The 22,449-nt window shown below is 43.7% G+C and overlaps 2 pseudogenes; both read left to right on the forward strand.

Moving 5' to 3' along the window:
- RN7SL666P (RNA, 7SL, cytoplasmic 666, pseudogene) lies at positions 11,989-12,292 on the forward strand (annotated as a pseudogene).
- PPIAP21 (peptidylprolyl isomerase A pseudogene 21) lies at positions 20,516-21,244 on the forward strand (annotated as a pseudogene).

Below are 22,449 nucleotides of genomic sequence, written 5' to 3' on the forward strand. Positions count from 1 at the left end.
TCATTGGAAGCCCGCAGTGGGATTTGAGAGAAGAGTGGGATGAGTACGGGCTGACATGGACACTAGTTACATAGGGCATGGCAGAATGTGAAACTGTGGTCCACCACAGACAGACACAAGGTGTTCAAGAAGTTAGGGGAGAGAGATTATTTCAGACTCCAGAGAGCTTCAAGAAGGCAGCAGCATCTGAGCTAAGTATACGTTCAATGGGAGGAAGCCAATTTTCAGATGAAGAAGCGGCGAGCATGATGCTTATGGGGTTCGTTTGTTGATTTATTCATTCATTCACTTACCACTGGCCCCTCTCTGCACTGCGTCCTGTTCTAGGTGCTAAGGATACAGTGGTGTGTCCATTTTATCCAGCCTGGCCCCTGTCTTCAATGAGTTCACAGTACAGGTTGGGTGGAGAGAATAGCTTAGGCTGGTGCTAATTCTTGTTAAGCCCCTAAGATTCCAGGCTTGTTACTACAGCATAACATAGGTTGTGATCTCCAGTATTGAGTGAGGTGCTGGTCATGTGTCGGCTTTCCTAACAGGTAGATATTTGTCACAAAGGCCATGACATGATGATATGCCCTCTGATTGAGACAGCTCCATCAGTAAACCCTCTTTACATTTACACCATCATCTTCAAGAAAACCTGTAGTGCATTTGGCCACCAGTATGGTACCAAGGTCCTAATAACAGTTCATCATCTCAAAGAAAAAAGTGAAAAACAAAACTAAAATCCATCCTAAGATAAGTCATCCCAAAGAACAGCAATCTAGCCTCAGTTTTAATCAAGCTCTTTAAGGAGTGCTTGCTTTGTGCCAGGGACTCTTCCAAGGGTTTCACAATAATTAACTCATTTAATCTTCGCAACAGGCTGTAGCCCTGCACACACACTTCATCCTCACTACTTCAGCACACACTGCCTGATGTCCAGCTGCCAGCTCATGCATTGCTCTGCCTGAGACCTTTCTCTTCCTGACAGAGCCCACGTTGCAGCCTGAATGGCAGGCCAAAAGTGTCAGGGAACTAACACCCCCACTGGGCATATGCACTCACATGGCACATGTACATTCATGCACTTGCACACGAAAGCAGTCCTCAATTAAGGCTGGCTTGGAGTTGGTGTATAAATACCCCACCTCCTTCACCCCTGGATTACACGTTTTACCCTGAGTTGTGTGTTTTACAGTCTCCAGAGCTCCCCAGGGGGTTAAGCTCAAGTCACCTGCAGCGGTAACTTGCTCTTTCCAGTCTTCCTTTACTACTCGTCTACCTTCACCTCCCAATTAACTAATTGCTCTTAAATCTATGTCTCCGGGTGTTCCCCTGAGGGAACCAGCTTAAGACACAACCCTTTCTTTGAGGGAAGAAGGTACCATGATAATCATCCTTATTTTGTAGCCAAGAAAAGTAAATCAGAGTTTTCAAACTTATTGAGAGAGAGACTGAATAATTTGCCCAAAGTCAGAGCTGGTGAGTGGTAGATCCAGGCTTCACACCCAACCACCAGGCTCCAAGATCCATGCTATTAACCCCGACACTCTACTGCAAAAACAACCCAAACCACTGAGCACCTGCCTCATTTCATTGGCTTTGTGAGATATGCACGTTGGTGAGCTACATAGATAAATACACATTGTTCCAGATTCATCTATAACCTTCTCTTTGGAGATTCCAGCATGTAATTCAGAAGTGTGTTTGAGAAGGTATTTGATGTGATTTTCAATGCAGTGGCAGCCACAAGGTGATTCATCAGCCAGCTCTCTTTGACAGTGAATTGATCTCCCAGGTCAGGAAGCAAACCTCAATTTACGTAGGATGCACTTGGAATGCGTCCTCACAGTAGCACATGGGAGATAAAGCACAGTCAATGACAGTTCTTGTCAATGAGTTTGTTATGGCAAGAGGGGAGATGTGGGGCTTTCCGGTCTGAGTGCTACCGCTGACACTCCAGATGCATGCTTTTTTTTTTTTTTTTTTTGGTATGATAAACACTTTGCCTGAGTCTTTTAGCCCTGCCTGTCAATTCCTTGACATTTCCAAGTCCTCTTTTGATCCAAGTATCTTCATCCAATAGCACAAAAGCAAAATGAGTACTTACTTGGTTCTCAGGCCATCAACCATTCTTTTTTCTTTCAAAATAGATCTCTCTGATTTTTCAATTTTGTTTCGTGTCCGGATGAGTAATTTCAGGACCATGAGGTTGGTGAAGTCTGAGCTTCCCCACTCAGAATTTCTTGCCTTCCTACAAAAAGAAAAAACAAAAAAAAAAAAGCCCATTGTAGCAAATTGTCCGTGTGATTCATTTGTTGCAGTCGCTGATGAAAAAATTTTTTTCTTGAAGGTCTTTCGAAGATCCTGGACCATGATGATAGGAAATAACCCCAGAAAGTGAGGAAAGCAAGGCACAAAAACTTAATATTAATTTTATTTTGCCATTAGAAAATCTTATTCTTTTTGCTTTTGGGGCAAAATTTGAGCTATAGAGAATGATAAATTGAGAAATAGAAGATCTGATCAAAACTGCCTCTGCTAGCCTAAAGTTTAATGTTTTAAAAATACAATTTTATTTTTCTTATGTCTAGGTTTTCTGTTCTTTATTCATACCTTTAAAGAAATTAAAGTTCATATGGCTGGTTTCTTCCTGCTTCTCATAAAAGCGATCATGCTCAACCAACAGCTAGAACTAAGTTTACGAGAAAGAAAGGAGGGAGGGAAGGAAGAAAAGGGTGAAATGGGAGAGAGGGAGAGAAGGAAGAAAGGACAGGAGGGAGGAAGGAAGAGAAATAGTATGTGGAGGACATTCTTTCCATTTCAAAACTGTAACCACCTCACTGACTATCTACAATGAAAATTCAGTGGGCAGTCGTTCAATGCCTCACTTAACTCCATCTGTGTACATTCAACCTCTTAATGCCTTAGTTTTAGGGCAGGCCCATTTTATCCTTTTCATCATCTCAGGCACAAGGTAGTGGTGACTTCAGTCCAGAAACAGAGTTTCTTAGTGTACTTCATGCAACACATCTACCTTGAGGCACTTCTACACAAAGACACTTGCTGGATTCTGAAGGGCTAGGAAGATGAATCCGATACTATGTCAGTCAAGAGATTAGGTTAGGCCTAATGTGGCTAAGTTATGCCATGTGACAACCCCCAAATCTTGGTGACTAGAAGCAACAAAAATTTATTTCTTGCCTATGCCACATATCTGTTGTGGAAACACAGAAGCCTTCAATCTACAGTGTCCTCACTCAAGGATCCAGGCTGAGGGAGGCTCTATCTCTGTTCTTCCATGATTGCTAAAGCAAGAAAAACGGGATGTGGAGAATCCCACACTGTCTTTTTCAAGACCCCACCTGGAAGTGGCACAAGTTACTCTGCTCACATTTGATTGGTCAAAGTAAGTCACATGGTTATGGCTTAGTTCCAGGAAATAGGAAAACACAGTCCTATGTGCCCACAAAAGGAGACAATTAAAATATTTGGTGACCAGCTGCAATGGTTTGAATGTTTGTCCCCTCTGAAACTCATGTTGAAACTTAATCTCCTTTGTAATAGTATGAAGAGGGTGGGAAATCCGACTATGGGATTTGAGAGGTGGGACCTTTAGGAAGTAATTAGGATTAAGATAAAGTCATGAGGCTGGAGCATTAGTCAATTTATAAAAGAAAGGCCTGAGCTAGCACTCTCAGCCCCCTCACCATGTGATGTCCTGTGCCACCCGGGAATCTGTGGAAAGTCCCACCAGCATTAAGATCCTCAACAGATGTGCCCAGCCTCCAGAACTATAAGAAATACATGCCTTTTCTTTGGAAATTGCCCAGTCTCTCGTATTCTGTTATGGCAACAGAAAACAGACTAAGACTAACAAAGCCAACCAGACATCGCATTCTTGATATGGAGGAGCTCATTGTCTTTTAAAGATAGCAAAGCCAAAAAATCTTTTTAGCGGTTCCCTAGGAGAGGAGCAAACTAAACGTCACAAGCTCAAAGGCAGACCTCACCCAGGAAGAAGAGCCTTGGAAAATAAGCTGGATTTTTACAAGAAAAGATGAGAAATCAGGCTTTTTAGGTGCAAAGAAGAGCAGAGCAAAGAAGAGAGGTCAAGAACACGTGAGTTATGCTGCATGAGACTGAGTAGTTTGTTCTGTCGTAAACAGAATGTGTACTTAGCAATGTATAAAAATTAAGAAAGATGGTAGGATCAGCTCATGGAAAAATTGCATGACAAGAGATATGGTTTGGCTGTGTCCCCACCCAAATTTCACCCTGAATTGTAATAATCCCCATGTGTCAAGGGCAGAGCCAGGTGGAAATAATTGAATCATGGGGGTGGTTTCCCCCATACTGTTCTCGTGGTAGTGAAAAAGTCTCAGGAGATCTGATGGCTTTATAAATGGGAGTTCCCCTGCAAACACTCTCTTGCCTGCCACCATGTAAGTCCCTTTGCTCTTCCTTTGTCTTCCTCCATGACTGTGAGGCCTCCCTAGCCATGTGGAACTCTGAGTCTATTAAACCTCTTTCCTTTATAAATTACTCAGTCTTGGATATGCCTTTATTACCAGCGTGAGAACAGACTAATACACCAAGCTATGGAGGTGGGAGTTCTTTCAGCAGATTGGGCCATTCATTCATTCATTCATTCAATAAGCAGAAGTGCCATCCTTGGCTTTGAGAATGTAGCAGCAAGATAATGATAATAATAGATAGGAAATGACTTCAAAAGAGACTTTGACAAGAGAATTGAGAGATTTGGGTGAATTTATGAGGGGTGAACTTATGAGAGTGAGTTCTGGCATCTGGCTTTGGAGATTCGGAGTATGCTAGAACCAAATACGCAGAGAGCACGGCAAGAACAGGTGCAGGGAGAGGGTGGATGATGGGCCATGTGATGAGCTGGGTTTGAGATCGGCTGAGTTGGAGGTGCCAGGAGTGGCACAAGGGGTCTGCCCAGCCAGCGTTTCCCTACAAGTCACCAGGCATACGGTGAGCCCTCTAGTACACACTCTGGTGGTGGGACCTGATCCTCTGTGGGACACTGCCCTGGCTTCTGTGGGTAGATCACCCCCTGGCTTTTGCCTCTAACCTCCCACATCTGGGACTGCCCCCAGAAGGCTGGCTTTGGGCTCCTGGAGCCACTTTGCCCACACACACAGAGATGAAGAAGTGCCTGGGTGTTTATGTCTCCTTGGAGCATCTGCAGCCAATGACTGTCCGGTCCAGGAGAGCACAAGTCCAACTTTTGGGACAACTCCTGAGGCATAACTCATGCCCCCAGAGCTCCCCACAGGGTCAGGCAGAAGCTCCCCTCTTCAAGACTTTTGCCTGAAATCCTGTCTTCACTTGGCCTCCTCCCCTTCTCTGGCCTTCTTCCACCCGCCCCCAACACACACCCACATACTGGTTTCTCCTGGGAGCAGTTTCTTAACACTTCACTTGCAAACAAATCTCCATCTTGCGGTCTGTTTTGGGGGAACCCACCCTACATCCAGCACCTACAGTGTGCCAGTCCCTTTGAAGGACACTGGGGATTCAAAAATTGAATAATACACAGCCTGGTTTTCAAAGAGCTCACTGTCTGGTGGAGAGACAGATGTATACATTGACAATTTCAGTGCAGTATGTGAATGTGCTGTTAGAGTAAGACGCTAGGGGTGAGCGGGAGGCATGAAAATACGGGCGAGGGCTCTTGTTCCACCCAAGGGATACAGGGAAGACTTTATAGAGGAAGTGGCCTTTAGACTGGATCTTATAGGATACATAGGATTTTGCTAAGGGAAAGGCAGGGAAGGGCAATATAGGCAGAGAAAACAGTTAATCGAAGTCAAGAGGCATGAAATGGATGGGAAATGGGATGTGGGGAGACTCCAAGTAGCTTGCTATTGCAGGAGCCTAATGGGCAGAGTAGACAGTGGTGGGCAGAGACCACAGATTACTGCAGAAGCCATGTAGGGTGTAGAATTCACCTTTCCTTCCCTTTCTCACTTCTTCACTCCCCAAGTGGTGACCGCAGTATCACTCTAGAAGTGAACCTAGAGCTGTTCATTCAGGAAGCACACATGCCCTTTAATCTGTACTCCCAGCCCACAGCAGTCTCCTAGGAGTAGGTCTCGCCAACTCCGGGTCCCCAGCCCAGAGGCACTTGACAGCACCCATAAACTTTCTCTCATCAACTGATGTTGTAGCCAAAGAAAACAGGCTCCCAGGAACAGATAAGGGATAAGCAGAAACTACCCAGTGCTTGCCTGGGAAACTCTTCTTGTAGTTCGAGTTCTCCCAGAAGTAGACTCTGTGACAAGAATTTGAGCACCCAAAATCTATTTGGGAAGTGTGAGAAAATACCCATAGAGGAATGGGGAAGTGAAGCAGGGAAGAAAAGCAGCCAATACAGGGAGTGTTATCAAGCACGTCACCTCTGTGGGAGATGAGCACTTACTCCCAGGAATGGAATGGGACTGGTGTCATGTACACACCTGAATTTTCCCACCCCAGGGACAGGGTAATTGGGGTAGCTGTATCCCAGGTCCCATCAATCACTGGCTGAGGGCTGCTCCCAGGGAGTGTTAATTCCCTGAAAAGCAACAACACACCAGCCAGGCAAGGAAGTGCAGGTGCAGAAAGTCGGAAGTCAGGCCACTGTGCCCCGAAGCAAGAAGGGCAAGGAAGTTTGAGCAGGGCACCCATGACGCACACCACCCTTCATGCTTCTTGTTATTCTTTCCCAGCTGTGGGAGAGAAACATCTCTAAGGACCTGATTTTCCCCTTTCTCCTCCATGTAAAGTTTGGAAGAAGAGTCAGGAAAGAACATCGCCAATCAAAAGGAGGGGGCCAATGTCCATCTAAAAGCCATTCAAGCTTCATTGTCCCCAACTATTTTGGGCGAGTGTATCTGCCAACTGGCACAGATTCATTTCCTCACTCCATAAAGCAAGTGAGCAAAAGAGAAAGCTAGTTCATAATAACCCTTCTACAAAGTCAAAGCATAATCTGACTTTGGGTTTCTAAGGAATCTGGTTCTTTTCACCTAAAAATGCCTGTGTAAAGTTCTACTAAAGCAGAGAGAGGTGCGCATTTTTTTAATACCACCACCATTAAGGAAACACAAAGCTTTTTTTGTTTTAGTCCAGTGGTTTGCACAGTGCCCTGAGGCCTAGGAGCTCTGCAGAGGTGTCTCGGGTGGATGAGGAAGGCAGAAAGAGTTTTTTTCTGCTCTGAGTCCCTCTCTTAGTTTGGGTTTCCCTAGAAGCTGACCAAGAGACAAGGATTCAAGTGCAAGTTGTATATTTGGGAGGTGATTCTGCGGTCACCACTTGGGGAGTGAAGAAGTGGGGAAGGAAAGGCAACCAACAAAGGGTGAGTTATCAATGCAGTTACCACTGTGGGCAGCTAGAGCCTGTGCCTTCTAGGGACCTGTGTGAGCCAGACTAGAGCACAAGCTTTGGCAACATCCCACCTGAGGTGTGCGGGAGCTGGGGTATAAATACCACGGCTCCCTTCAGTCATTAGTTCAGAGCTGCTTGTGGGGGACGTTGATTCTCTGGGACTTCCAGCCTGCCCAGAAGCAGCAAAACGAACTCTGGCAGCCAGAAAAAGCCCTTGGGCAGGGAGGGAGTGACAGGGAGCATGTGCTGGCAGTTGGAATTTAATGGAAGAAGCCAAAATTTTGCAGAACAAGAGAATATGCAAGAGACATCGATAGCATGGGATACAGCCCCCTATTCTTAGTCCTCTGAGAAGAGAGGCTTAAATCTTCTGTTTTACATATCCGGGTGGCACTAGAGATACACTAAGAAAAAAGAGGTTTTAAAACCTCTGGTCTGATACAATGTACTTATTTCACAAATAAGGACTTAGAGGTCCAGAAAAGAAAGTGTGTAGCAATGTGAGGACCAGAGCTGAGATCTCTTGAGCGTCAGACCAGGGCTTTTCCCACGCTGCACACATTTTGGCCCAAGCCAAGTTTTGCTGCTATTTCATTTTTTCAAACTCCTTTTGTTCACATTGTCCCTGTTCTCCACGTATGCCCCTGCGACCTTAGCCGACTGTTGCCCAGCATCAACCACTCGCGCTTCCCACCAGTCACATAGAATGCCATTCTCTTTCCATCTTTATCCAGCTTCTTTGACAAAAACCTTTTATTACATTTGCAAACAGTGACCAAAAAGTATGAAAACCAGAGGATTGATGTTGGCACAACCACTTTGGAATTAAATGTAAATACTCCACTTCACTTGGGCGACATGCTGGGCTGATAAAACAGCTTCTGCAAACTCAATATCAAGGAGTCTGTTTCCAATACAGCTGCCTATTGTCTTTCATGTTTGAAGATCATTCAAAAGCCTTTGGGCTGCTTTATACACGAACATGTGGATGTCTTAATTTATAAAAATCACTGTGCATCCTATTAATCTCTGCATCTTCAGTACCCAGGACTCTTTCTAGACCACAATAAGTGCTCAATAAATGTTCACTAAATGAATGAACAAAAAAATGACAGCTACGCTTCCCCTCAAACTGAAATCAAAAGGCCAGCCAGCTGCAGGGATTTTCATGTGCACGATGAGCTTCAGTGACATTCCGTCAAAAATTGATCACGACCTCTTTGCCAGACTTTTCTTGAACTATACTGACAAAAAAATTAAAATCATTCCATTCATTAAATAAATATTTATTCAGTGCTAACTATGGGTTGGGCATTGGGATATGATGGTAAGAGAAATAAAGGAGAGACTCTTCCTTTTTGAAGAGTGCAGCCCAGACAGACACAAATCAAGTAACCATACCAGTTAAATGACACCAGCCATGATAAATAACAGTGGTCCTTTTAAAGGTAGGTCCACAAAGCCTTTGATGTTCCTCCCCTTGAGAGGTGGAGCTCAATTCCCCTTTCCTGGAGCATAGTTTGAATTCAGTGCCTTACTTGTAAGGAATAGAAGAGAAGGGATTTCATTTCCAAGACTAGTCTATAAAAAGACTGTGGCCTCATCTTGGGTGGATTCATTCTTTCTCTTTCTGTCTCTCTTCTCATCATTTGCTCTGAAGGAAGTACCAGTTGCCATGTTGTGAGGATACTCAGGCATGTGAGGGGTAAGGGAGAACCCCCCTTTAGGGAGGAACAGGGGACTTCTAGCAACCATGTCGGTGATCTTGGAAGCAGAGCCTCTATCCCCGGTTGAGCCTCTCCAGATGTCTGCAGCCCTGGCCAACAACCTGACTGCAACCTCATGAGCGACTCTGAGTCAAAACCACCCAGTTAATCCACTCCCAGATGCCTAACTCACAGAAACTCGAAAGTAATAAATGTTTGTGGTTTTATGTTATGTTTGGGGTAATTTGTTACACAGCAATAGGTAATTAACATGAAGGAGAAGTCCTAGATAATGTGAGTGCTTCCATCTGATCTGGGAAGTCAGAAAGAGCTTCCCCAATGAAGTGATTGAGTAATGGAGGAGCAAGAAGGCTGAGAAGAGTAATCCAAGGAAAAGAAGTGACATGTGCAAGGGCCCTGGGGCAGGAAGGGAGCATGCTGAGTTGGAAAGATTGAAGGAAACCAGTGTGGCTGCTGCTGCATGGGGATCAAATGGGAAAGTGATTTGGAATAAAGCCGGCATGAGGGGGACCTATCCACGGAGGGCCTCAAGACATTGTCCAGGACTTTGATCTTTATCAAGAGAGCAATGGCAAGTCTTTGAAGAAACAGGTATGTGACTTGATCAGACTTGTATTTCCTTCATGTTCTTTCAACTATCATCTCTTATCAAAGCATTCAGCTGACAACTTCCTCTCTCTGGGCATGTTTTGATTTCCACACAGACTTTCTGCAAATAATGGAAATCACATAGGCAAAAAAAAAAAAAAACCCTCTGCTTATAATTTGCAGTGCAAACTTCATGCTAACTCTCATTTTACCCCAGTGGCTGCCAGTCACTCTCTATCAGCTATAAGAGGGCGAGATAGACAAGGTTTAGGAAACGTAGGATGAAGTAAGGGGCTCCCTTCAAGGTGAATCCCAAAAATCATATGCCAACGTTGGGGTGTAGGTATATCTGTGCAGTTTTTAAAGGACAAAGTCGAGTTTTTATCACATTCTCAAGGGGATCTGGGTTCCCTAGAAGCAGAACCTGAAGCCAAGATTCAGGGTCATGGAAGTTACTGAGGAAGGACTCACAGGGGAAACTTTCAAGGAAAAGGAAGAGAAAAGAACCCAGCAATGTGTGATCTTGGGTGATATGTAGCCCTGGCCTGATCCCCAGGGGGACACTGGAGAATAATCTATACACAGTTACCCCATCCCATGGCATGAGGCCAGCCTCTTATACCCCTACATCTACATCCCTCAGTTACTGGCTGTGAGTTGCTCCCTACATTTCTGGAGATGATGTAAGTTTTCCAGATAAAATTAAGTATTTTTATTTGCTAAATATAGCAACCCTAAGAAAAGGGCAGCTACGAATCATTAGCAGCCAATACTCACAGCAGCTCACGGATGGCTCAGCAAAGGGGATCTTGGCAGGACACCAAAACAGCGTTAACCACAACCTGTGACCCTGAAAAGGTTCAAAACCCTCCATCTATAGGACGGAAATGGTTGGCTGGTCAGTAATGTTCTGGGAAACCATGATAAATTCCTCACACTTAGAAGCTGCAATAGGGCCCCAGGAAACTAGGACAGAGCTGGCATCCAGTTATGTTTGCACATCTGACTGACTCAAGTTTCCCAGGGAATCCAACCCAAATCCAGAACTTACAGCTTATCAGAGTACAGGAAGAAGCCAACAGGCCAAAATTAACCTAAGCATCACTAAACTAAAAGTTGCACAAAGATTCTACAGAGGAACCACTGAAAGTTCAGACAACCAGGTCCCTTGTGTTATTTTAAGTGTGGGGTAGTACAATGAGAGTTAAAAGTAAAGATTCTGGATCCATACTATCCGAGTTCAAATCCCAGTGCCCCTGCTTACCAACTGTGTGACCCTAGGCAAACTGCATGACCTCTCTGGGACTCAGTTTCTTATCTGTCAAATGGATATTATAATAATAGTCTATCTGTACCAGTATAGGATCAACTGAATTGATTTCTATAAACTGTTTAAAACTGTGCCTGCTTCAGAGTAGACATCAATAAATGTTTACAATTAATATGATTATATAGTTATAAAAAATGATGTTTTTGTTATTAAAGTTATCTGAAACTTCCCAGATTAGCTCCTTCCAAAGGCCTGAAAACATCCTTCATACTACTGGGCAGCATCATTTGGCCATGAGCTTCCTGGGGGCCTGATGAGTGCCCTTCTCATCTTTGCTCGGTGTTATGGACACATTGTTGGGTTTGATGAATATTTGATCAGTGGAGGCTGCCATTGCAGGAAGTAGCCAGGAAGGAAGTTTGCTGTCATTCAGGCCTGCCAGGCCCTTCCACTCCACCCGCCTTTACATCTCATGGCAGGTGCAACTGCATGTTTAAAAGCCATGACGGGTCACTCTTTGAGCCTGAAATTTCCAGGTGTACAGTCGGGGGGTTGGTCTAGAGAAAAATCTCTGACCACCATGTATCGAGTCCTCCCTCTGTGCCAAGCACTGTACTGAATGTTTCATGAACATTACCTTGTTAACTCATCCCAACAACCCTAACTTCTTAATTTCCCTATTACAGAAGAGGAAATGGAGGCTCAGCCACCTTCTCCAGGCAGGGCACGCAGCTAGATTCTTTTACTCTCAGGCACGAGCCATAATCCAGCAGGAAGGACACATTCTTGCCAATGATGGCCAAGCTCCCTGAGATCACGGGAGCTATTTGCAGGCAGGTGCTGAAGCCAAAACTCAAGAAGAGGAGACACTCGTATCCAGGCACCCTCTAGCTCACAGCCAGAGCTCATATTCTCCAAAGCTGGGCACAAGCCAAGAGAGAATAACAGACACCCCCGGGATTTCATAGGGATGTTGTAGAGCCAGGGAGGTAGCAGAGCTAATACCACAAGAATACAACAGTAAATACAGCTGGGCACAGTGGTGCACACCTGTAGTCCCAGCTACTCGGGGGCCTGAGGTGGGAAGATTGCTCGAGCCCAGGAATTCTGGACTGCAGCACGTCACGGCAATCAGGTGTCCTCACTAAGTTTGGCATCAATATGGTGACCTCTGAGGAGGGGGCCCACAAGGTTGCCTAAGGAGAGGTGAACTGACCCAGAGAGAAAATGGGGCAGGTCAAAAGTCAAAACTCCCGTGCAGATCTGTAGTGGGATCGCACCTGTGAATAGCCACAGCACTCCAGCCTGGGGAACACAGCAAGACCCTGTCTCTCAAAAATAATAATTAATTAATTGTAAACACTGCTTGCTGAGTACTTATTAAATGTTAGGCGTCACGCTAAGCCCCTGTCTTGGTGGAGTTTCCAAAAACAGACTCTGAGATGAGGATTTGGCTGCAGGGTGTTTACTCGGGAGGTGGTCCCAGGAAGCACAGTGAGAGCCAGAAAATAAAACAAAGAAGAGATAAAAGTCAATAAATGGTACAGTGATGACCAGGTCACCTCTGTGGACAACTAAGGCTTGGTCCTACTGGGGACACTTTGGGAAGCTCTGTGTTACACACATGAGAATTTTTCCACCAAGTGTGAGAAAGCTGGGTATGGATCCACCCACTCCCATCTTCCACAGGTTGAGGGTCCCTCCTGGAACATTAACTCCCTAGCACTTCTAAATGTCCTGTGCAGGGGTTGAGCACCCTCCTGAGCATCAGAGGAGCCCTTGGGCAGAGAGGATCACAGGTGATTGAGGCTGGAAGCCATAGATGTGTGCAGGAACTGCCCGGGAAACGTGCAGGTGACAAGAGAGTCAAGAAAACATTAGAAGGGTGCAACTTACTATAGCCTCTTTCAGGCATTGTCTCACCAGCCCAGTGAGGTAGGTACAATTGTGTGTCATTTTAGAGATGAGAAAACTGAGACTGAGACTCAGCAAAATAAAATCTACTCAAGGTCACAGTTGATGAGCTAAGACTGAGTCCAGGCAGCGAGGTCCAGAGCCCCTGGTCTAAGGCATCATACAACACTGAGGACTCCCCAGCCAGTGCTCTTTGACTCTACCGAGCAGGCAACAATCGCACCAAACCCATGGGATTCTAGCCTCCTCTATTTGTTTATTTTACTGTATATATTTAAGGCACGTAACATGAGGCTTTGATATAAGTATACATAGTGAAATGGTTACTAGAGTCAGGTGAATACACAGATCTATCATTTCACATAGTTATCCTTTGTGTGTGTGTGGCAAAAGCATTTAAAGTATACTCCTAGCAAAAATCCTGAATACAATACAATATTAGCTATTGTCCTTATGTGGCACATTAGAACTCTAGACTTCTTCCTCCTACACCTCTGCACCTTTGTATCCTTTGACCTATACCTCCTCATTTTCTCTGCACCCCTTCCTTGCCCCGCCCCTGGTAACAACCATTTTATTCTCTGTGTATTCAACTTTCCTTTAACTCCAAATCCTGTATGTTCTCCATACAGTATTCATTCTACTGGCCAGCGGTTTGAAGTAAGGGATGGGGTTGACCTTTATTCGACTGGAGTAGAAAGATGAACAGAGCTGGGGGGTGACTTCTTTGTCCTAACCAATGCCAACTCCATTTTGCTTTGTAAAAGGACTCTTGGAATTAGTAGGGGAGGAAAAATCACCTCCAGGTCAGAAGCTTACCTTGTGTGTCATATTTCAGACAATAGGAAGGAATTACCCCAGTTTCCCTCCAGCGGGGTGGACAGAAACTTCCCCCACCCGCCACTGGAATAGTATAGTCAGCCTTAGTCCCCCTACCTCCTGGGAAATGCATGAGTTGGATCCCTTTTCCAACGTTCTAGTTGTGTGACCTTGCTTATCTAACATCACCTCCCTGAATTCAGTTTTCTCATCTATAAAATGGAAATGATGACTCTTGCCTCTTAGGGCTGTTGTGGGGATAAAATGAGATAATGGAGAGAGAGTTCTCCGCACTGTGCCTGGCACATAGTCAGCACTCAAAAAGAGATTCATTCCTCACCCCTCACAATGCACCTACCCGTAATGGGGATGCACTGGGCAGGTGTGACCTGAGAGCATATGTTTGTGGTGACAGATCCAGCAAGACAATAATTGAGAGTAACCTGCGTGGTGTGTGTGTGTGTGCGTGTGTGTGTGTGTGTGTGTGTGTGTGTGTGTGATATGCTGCACTCAAAACCCATCCTTTCCCACCTCTAACCCCATGGGCTCTCCACAGTGATTACAGTGATTCTAAAGAATTCACCAAAACATGTTATAAGCCTTGATTACAATGAAAAAGCGATTTTCCTAAAGTGGATCTTCCATCTGCTGGAGGTAGCCAGGCCCCAGTGACAAAGAAGAAATTCCTGGAACTCTGCAAACTCGGGGTCTGTGGCACAAAGCCCACTCCTTCCTGCAGCCAGCCTGATTGACAAGGCCCAATATCCGTCCCCTCCCGGGCCTAGATCCACAGCAGCAGCCCACAGAGCAGCCTTGGAAATGGACGATAAATGGCGCCTTTTTATTTATGAGCACTTTCCATTATGGGCATAATACCCCCATTCTTTCCCTGGTTTGTATATAAACATCTCAAAATAGGCTTATTTTAAAAGGACCTTGGGACACAATACTTCTGTTTGAGAGAACGGCCAACGTGCCCACGCACGCTGAGAGTGGCTGGGTTGTTACTTGCTGGCCCCCTTTGCAAGAGCACTCGGCAGTCTTTTTGGGCAGAGAAAATAATTTGCTCAGGAGCCCATTTGTCCCTGGAAGTCACAGAGTGGACAAGGTCACCTGCTACTCGAGATTCACACAGTTGCCAGTCCTGGGGTTGGCAATTCTGGGACCCATGGCCACTGGGTCCATGATAATAATTCACATTTGCAGAAGTCACGTGTTTCCAAAGCCCTGGTCCCTGGCTTTTGCTCATTTACTCCTCCCCACACTTGAGTTCATAGTTAGAATTTTTTTTTTTTAATTGAGACAGAGTCTCACTCTGTCACCCAGGCTGGAGTGCAGTGGTACGATCTTTGCTCACTGCAACCTCGGCCGCCTGGGTTCAATCAATTCTCCCACCTCAGCCTCCTGAGTAGCTGGGATTACAAGCATGTGCCACCACACTTGGCTAATTTTTTTATTTTTAGTAGAGATGGGGTTTCTCAAATTTAGGCTCCACTGCCCTAAGAGGCAAGTGTCATCATTTCCATTTTATAGATAAGGAAACTGAATTCAGGGAGGTGATGTTAGATAAGCAAGGTCACACAACTAGAATGTTGGAAAAGAGATCCAAGTCATGCATCTCCCAGGAGGTAGGGGGACTAAGGCTGACTATACTATTCCAGTGAGGGTGGGGAACGTTTCTCTCCACCCCGCTGGAAAGAAACTGGAGAATTCCTTCCTATTGTCTGAAATATGACACACAAGGTAAGCTTCTGACCTGGAGGTGGTTTTTCCTCCCCTAACAACTCCAAGAGATCCACCCACCTCGGCCTCCCAAAGTGTTGGGATTACAGGCGTGAGCCACTGCACCCTGCCTGTTGTTAGAATTCTTCAGAGGAGAAAACTTTATCCCTGAAGTATTAAATACCTTAACCACCATCCCAGAAGAATTGGCAGAGGTGGAGCTTGGATATATTGTCAAAATGGTGAAAGTTAATCATTCATTTGCAAATCCACCTGAAATCACTATCCTTGATTCGCCTCAATTCTAATGTCACTACAAAGACCTCTTTACCCTCCTCCCACTGCCTCACCCCAAGAAGCCCATTGCTTTGCTGTGTTTCTCTCCTGAATGAAGCTTGGGGTCTCTTGGCCCAGGGCAAGAAGGATGGGCTGACCCCCAGGGGCTCTGGCCAGGCCTTTACGGAGCTAAAAAGGATAGCACCTTTTCCCAATCTCAATGCAGAGAGTACAGTGATTTTTTGCTTTTGTGATCTATTTTGAAAGACCAGGTATAATTTATATTCTATTTAGCAAAGCTTTATATGGCACTTATTGTGTGCCAGCTGTTGTTTCAAATGCATTTCAAATCTTAACTCGTTTAATCTTCATAACACCTTTCTGAGATAGATCTTCTTATTGGGGAATTTGTAGGTGAGGAACTGAAGCAGAGATGCTTAAGTAACTGTCTCAAAGTCACACAGCCAGTATGTAGAAGAGCTAGAATTTGAACTTGGCCTGGTTCCAGAGTCTGTGCTTTCTTAACCACTACATTATATTCTTAAATGATAGTGTCTATAATTCAGGTGATTACCCGTGGTCACTTACCAGGGGAGAAATGCCTACTTTTTGGAAATAGGAAGCACCAACATTGAATGGGCTCCTACGATATACCAGGCTTTGTTCCAAGGGCTTCAATACGCTATCTTACTACTTTTCAACAATCTTAGGAGGCAGGTGCTGTAATCTCCAGCCTACAAATGAATTAATCAAGACTAAAAGCATAAACTAGAATAGGAATTTTAGTACCCTGACTGGTAGAGGGCCACTCAACAAATCCAAATCCAATTAATTAATGTCTAAGCATTAATTAATTGCTTAGAAACTCAGAAACACAGCTGGTATGCAGTGGAGCCTAAATTTGAGCCCAGTTTTATCTGACCTTCACCTGAAAACTGACCAGGATATCCCCAGGTAACACAATTAGACAGGTGTAGACAGTAAGTTATTTTTATAAAATTATCAATATTAACATAAATAGAAATGTATTAATATGCATTTATAATACAATATACATTCATTAAATAAATATTAATTAAAATTGTAGCATATAGATTCACTGATTTCTAATTATTGAGGATAAGAAATTCATTTTCAATATTGCTTCATCTAACCTTAATGTTTCTTATTTTGCTTTAAAGAGTACATGTAACTTTGTCTTTTTTTATTTTTCTATTTTTCTAATTTTAATTTTTCTAGACACATAATAGTTGTACATATCTCTGGGATACATGTGATATTTTGATACACACGTGCAATGCATAATGACCAAATCAGGATAATTGGGATATGCATAACCTTAAACATTCATTTCTTTGTGTTAGAAACATTCTAATTCACTCTTATAGTTATTTTGAAATATACAGTAAATTGCTGTTAACTACAGTCACCCTATTGTGCTGCTGAATACTAGATCTTATTCCTTCTCTCTCACTGTATTTTTATACCCATTAACCAACCCTTCTTTATCCCCCCAACCCCATTACCCTTCCCAGCATCTGTGTTTTTTTTGCTTGTTTGTTTTTGTTTTTTTCTGAGAAGGAGTCTCACTCTGTCACCCAGGCTGGAATGCAGTGGAGCAATCTCGGCTCACTGCAATCTCCACCTCCCAGGTTCAAGCAGTTCTCTGCCTCAGCCTGCCGCCAGCCTCTGTAATCATCATTCTTCTATCTCCATGAGATCAATTGTTTAAATCCACATGGAATTTATTTTGGTATATGGTATGGAATATACTTTTATAAATAAAGCACATATACATATATATAAATAAAATTATGCATATCTCCAAATGGTTAACTGTCTCACCATCATTAATTGAATAATCCATTATTTTTCCCCACCTTACTCTTATAGTAAATTCTTTTTTAGCTTTCTATTTGAAATCATTTTAAGCTTTCAGAAAATTTGCAAAAATAAAATTGAGAGTTCCTTTATGCCTCTCCCCCAGCTTCCCCTAATGTTAAGAACTTATGTAACCATAGTGCAAAAAAAAAAATGGAAAATTAACATAACTACTCTGCAGACCTTATTTGATTTTCACCAGTTTTTCCATTAATGTTCTTTCTCTGTTCCAGGATCCAATCCAAGATCCTACATTGCCTTGAGTTATCATGTCTTCTCAGTTTCCTCCAATCGGACAGTTCCTTGGTCTTCCATCTTTCATGACCTTGACTCTTTGAGAGGGTATGACCAGCTACTTTGTAAAATATCCCTTAATTTGGGTTTGTCTCATGTTTTCTTGGGGTTAGATTGAGGGTATGCATTGGAGGCACAAATATCATACAAGCGATGTGCCTTTCACAGTGCAGGAGTGCATGATGGTGCAACGTACCAGGTGGTACATGATGTCAGGGTGTCCCATCACCTGTGATATTAAACTTGATCACTTGGTTAAGGTGGTGCCTGCCAGGTTTCTACACTGTAATGTTACTATTTTTCCTCTTAGTAAATAATAAATATCTTGTGAGGAAATACTTTGAGATAATGCAAATATCCTGTTCTCATCATGCTAAATACTAATTTTAGCCTCTGTTGATGTACTTGCCTGTGACCATTGTTATCGCAGTATTTGCCTACTGGTGATTTTCTATTTCCATCATTCCTCTACAACTATTAATCAAAATTCCTCTGCAAGGAAGAACTGTCCCTTCTCCCCCAGTACATATAATTATTTATATCAGTATGGATTTATGAATATCTTCCATGGGTTATAATCCAATTCTTACAGTAAATTATAACATACCCTTTTTTCTCTTGCTGAATTTACTATTCTATTTCATGGGTATTTTGGTATATTCCTGCCCCAATAATACACTATCTTCATCATTACAGCTTTATAATACATATTAGAATTTTTACATTCAAGTTCCCTTCTCACTGTCATTATTTTTCCAAAAATTCCTGGGTGGCTTTTTCCTATTTATCTTTGCAGATGAGTTTTTAAATAGTTTTGTCAACTTACACAACCCTAAGGGCATTAGGTTGAAATTGCATTCGATTCAAGAACTAATTTTGGGAAAATTGTTTTCTTTACAATACTGTCTTCCCATTCAAAAACACGATATGCCTTTCCGTTGATTTAAGTCAGCTTTCAGATGCCTCTATGAAACTTTGCCATTTATTTCATATAGGTACTGTACCTTTTGGTTGGAAAATTCCTAGAGTCCTTTTCCCCCCCCAGGATTTTTTTTTTTTTTTTTTGTGACCAGACACCTTATTGAACTATTTTATTGGTTCTAAATTTTTTTTTTTTTTTTTGAAACGAAGTCTCGCTCTGTCACCAGGCTGGAGTGCAGTGGCGTGATCTTGGCTCACTGCAATCTCCGCCTCCCAGGTTCAAGCGATTCTCCTGACTCAGCCACTTGAGTAACTGCGATTACAGGTGCGCACCACCACACCCAGCTAATTTATTTTTTATTTTTTGTATTTTTAGTAGAGATGGGGTTTCACCATGTTGGCCAGGATGGTCTCGATCTTCTGACCTCGTGATCCACCCACCTTGGCCTCCCAAAGTGCTGGGATTACAGGCGTAAGCCACCATGCCCGGCCTGGTTCTAAATTGTTAGTTTATTAATTTACTCAACAGTTACCTATTGAGCATCTACCATGTACCAGGCACTGATGGGAGAAATGGGGAGTCAACTTTGTTCTGGGCCTCACAGACCCTAAATTCTAGCAGGTCAGACAAAGAACAGAAAAACAAGTAAATACTTATAAGTAGGACTGTTATTTATCATAAGGCAGTATTCAGTGCTCTATACAACACTAAAGCAACATTGGAAAAAGCAAAATGAAAGGAAGAGGGTGTTATCTTAGACATGGAGATTGATTGGGAAAGCCTCTCTGGAGGGGTGATATTTGAGCAAAGACCTGAATAAAATGGAAGAGTGAGCCAAGAAACCATCTGAGCAAAGAGCATTCCAGGTAGAGAAAATAGCCTGTGCAAAGGTCCTGTGGCAGAAACGAGTTTGGCAGGTTTGAGGCATGGTAAGGCTGGGGTGGTTGGAACAGTGTGAGGGAGTGCAGAGTGGTGGGCAGAGCGCAAGCCATGTAAGGCCTTGAGGCCCTGGTAAGGAGCGTGTAGTGTAGTCTAAGTGTGATGAGAAACACAGAAGCAGGGATTCCAGTAAGGAGGCCCCAGAGGTCATCCAGGTGAGAGAAGACAGTGGCCAGGACCAAGGCAGGAAACGCGGAATGGTCAGAAGCAGTCAAATCTTTGACACATTTTTAAAGCTGCCCTGGCAGGACTGCTAATGGGTTCAATGTCGGGAGTGAGGGAAGATGAGCATGATGGAAATGCACCAAATCCACACTGGGCATATATTTCATGCCGCTCACATTTATCCTCAAGGATCCAGACTCAGCCAACACTTTGTAACACTCATATAGTTAATGCATAAGGTCATAGCTAATTTAACAGACTGCTCTTTGACATTAAAAAGGAAAAAAAAAAAAAAAAGAGGCCAGGTGTGGTGACTCAAGCCTATAATCTCAGCACTTTGGGAGGCCAAGGTGGGAGGAACACCTGAGCCCAGGAGTTCAAAAGCAGCCTGGACAACCTGGTGAAACCCCATCTCTACAAAAAAATACAAAAATTAGCATGCATAGGGTGGTATGCACCTGCAGTAGCAGCTACTCGGAAGGCTGAAGTGGGAGGATCATTTGAGCCCTGCCAGTCAAGGATGCAGTGAGCCATGATTGTGCCACTGCACTCCAGCCCTGACAACAGAGCAAGACCCTCTCTTAAAAATAAAAATAATAAAAAAAAAGCTTTTAAAACGCTGCTGCCACCAGGAGTCCTGTACTATCAGCCATGGTCAACCCCACTGTGTCCTTCGACATTGCTATCAACACCGAGTCCTTGGGCTGTGTCTCCTTTGAGCTGTTTGCAAACAAGATTCCAAAGACGGCAGAAAATTTTCATGCTCTGAGCACTGGAGAGAAAGGATTTGGTTATAAGGGTTCCTGCTTTCACAGAATTATTCCAGGGTTTATGTGCCAGGGTGGTGACTTCACACGCCAAATTGGCACTGGTGGCAAGCCCATCTGCAGGGAGAAATTTGATGATAAGAACTTCATCCTAAAGCATACAGGTCCTGGCATCTTGTCCATGACAAATGCTGGACCCAACACAAACGATTCCCAGTTTTTCATCTGCACTGCCAAGACTGAGTGGTTGGATGGCAAGCATGTGGTCTTCGGCAAGGTGAAAGAAGGCATGAAGATTGTGGAGGCCATGGAGTACTCTGGGTCCAGGAATGGCAAGACCAGCAAGAAGATAATCATTGCTGACTGCAGACAACTTCGATAAGTTTGACTTCCATTTTATCTTAACCACCAGACTATTCCTTCCGTAGCTCAGGAGAGCACCCTTCCACCCCATTTGCTCGCAGTATCCTAGAATCTTTGTGCTCTTGCTGCAGTTCCCTTTGGATTCCATGTTTTCCTTGTTCCCTTCCATGCCTAGCTGTGTTGAAGAGTTAAGTTTATGATTATGAAATAAAAACTAAATAACCAAAAGAAAAAAAAGACAGGCTCTGTTTTTTGGGCCTGTTTTGGGCCATAAAATCAATCTCCCTACTCCTGGGGATAATCAAGATAGCAGCTGAATTATGTTGAATATGCTGTGATGTAATAGAGAGAACTCAGAGCTAGGAGGCAGGAGCTCTGTGCAAACCTGAGCACATCACTCAGCCTCTCTGGCCTCAGACACCTCACGTACAATGAAAGGATCAAACTGGATCCCCTGGAGGTTTCTCCTAGTCCAGGCATTCCCGACTCTCTATAAACTGCATTATCACAGGGACCTGAGTCAAGGACAGCAACTAAGACTCAACAAGCAAGAGATGAGAGCCCCAGTTCCCCACCTAAAGCCCACCACATAGAGCAGAGCTAAGAAGATTAAATGAGAAAATATCTGGAAAGTTCTAGCAGATGAGAAGAGCTCACTCCACAAGAGCTGCCAACACATGTCTAGTTAACAGAGAGTTAACAAGTATATATAGATCACCAATTTTCAACTCCATTATACTTGTCAACTGAAACTCTACTGAACACATTATATTTTATTGATGACTCAGGTACCCTTCAGGCTCATGAAGGAGCCTGAAGGTCATGATTATAATCTCTAATTAGCTTTGTTCTGGAGCTGTGTGGGAGGGCTGGTTAACCAGAAGTTGCAGATACACGAGTTCTGGATAAAGAATTGCTACCTCAATGGATGAAGAACAGATTTTGTTCATTTACTGAAGTGCTTGTTAATTGTGAATAATTACTGGAGGGTGTACTTTAGCCATCACCTACACATATAAATAACCATTTGTTCCATGACTCCAGGTTATTAATACGCTCCCAGGGCCGTTCTGATATAATGCCGGGAGAAATGTGGGACTTACATCCTCAATGTGAATATTTGTTTGGCCTGACATCAGAGGATGCTAGGAAAAAAAAAAGAAAAACTCTGCTGGGATCAGGTTAACCTGAATTAGTGAAGGTTTGAGCAACTAGCATCCATAATGAAAACTGCTTAAGGCCAAGGTATTTTTGGAAGCTGCCCCCCACCCCTCAACAAAGGATTACAAAAGAATTAAACTCTGGGATACCTTAGATTCAAAGCAGGCCTCCCACTGGCTTCAAAGACTTGGGCCTCCTCATTAAGGAGAAAAGCAAGAGGGTGGTCCTGATGTTTACCAACTGTCCTGGACCTGGCCTCCCTTGTAT

The sequence above is a fragment of the Homo sapiens genome, chromosome 20 (genome assembly GCF_000001405.40).
Source record: "Homo sapiens chromosome 20, GRCh38.p14 Primary Assembly".
Taxonomy (NCBI): domain Eukaryota; kingdom Metazoa; phylum Chordata; class Mammalia; order Primates; family Hominidae; genus Homo; species Homo sapiens.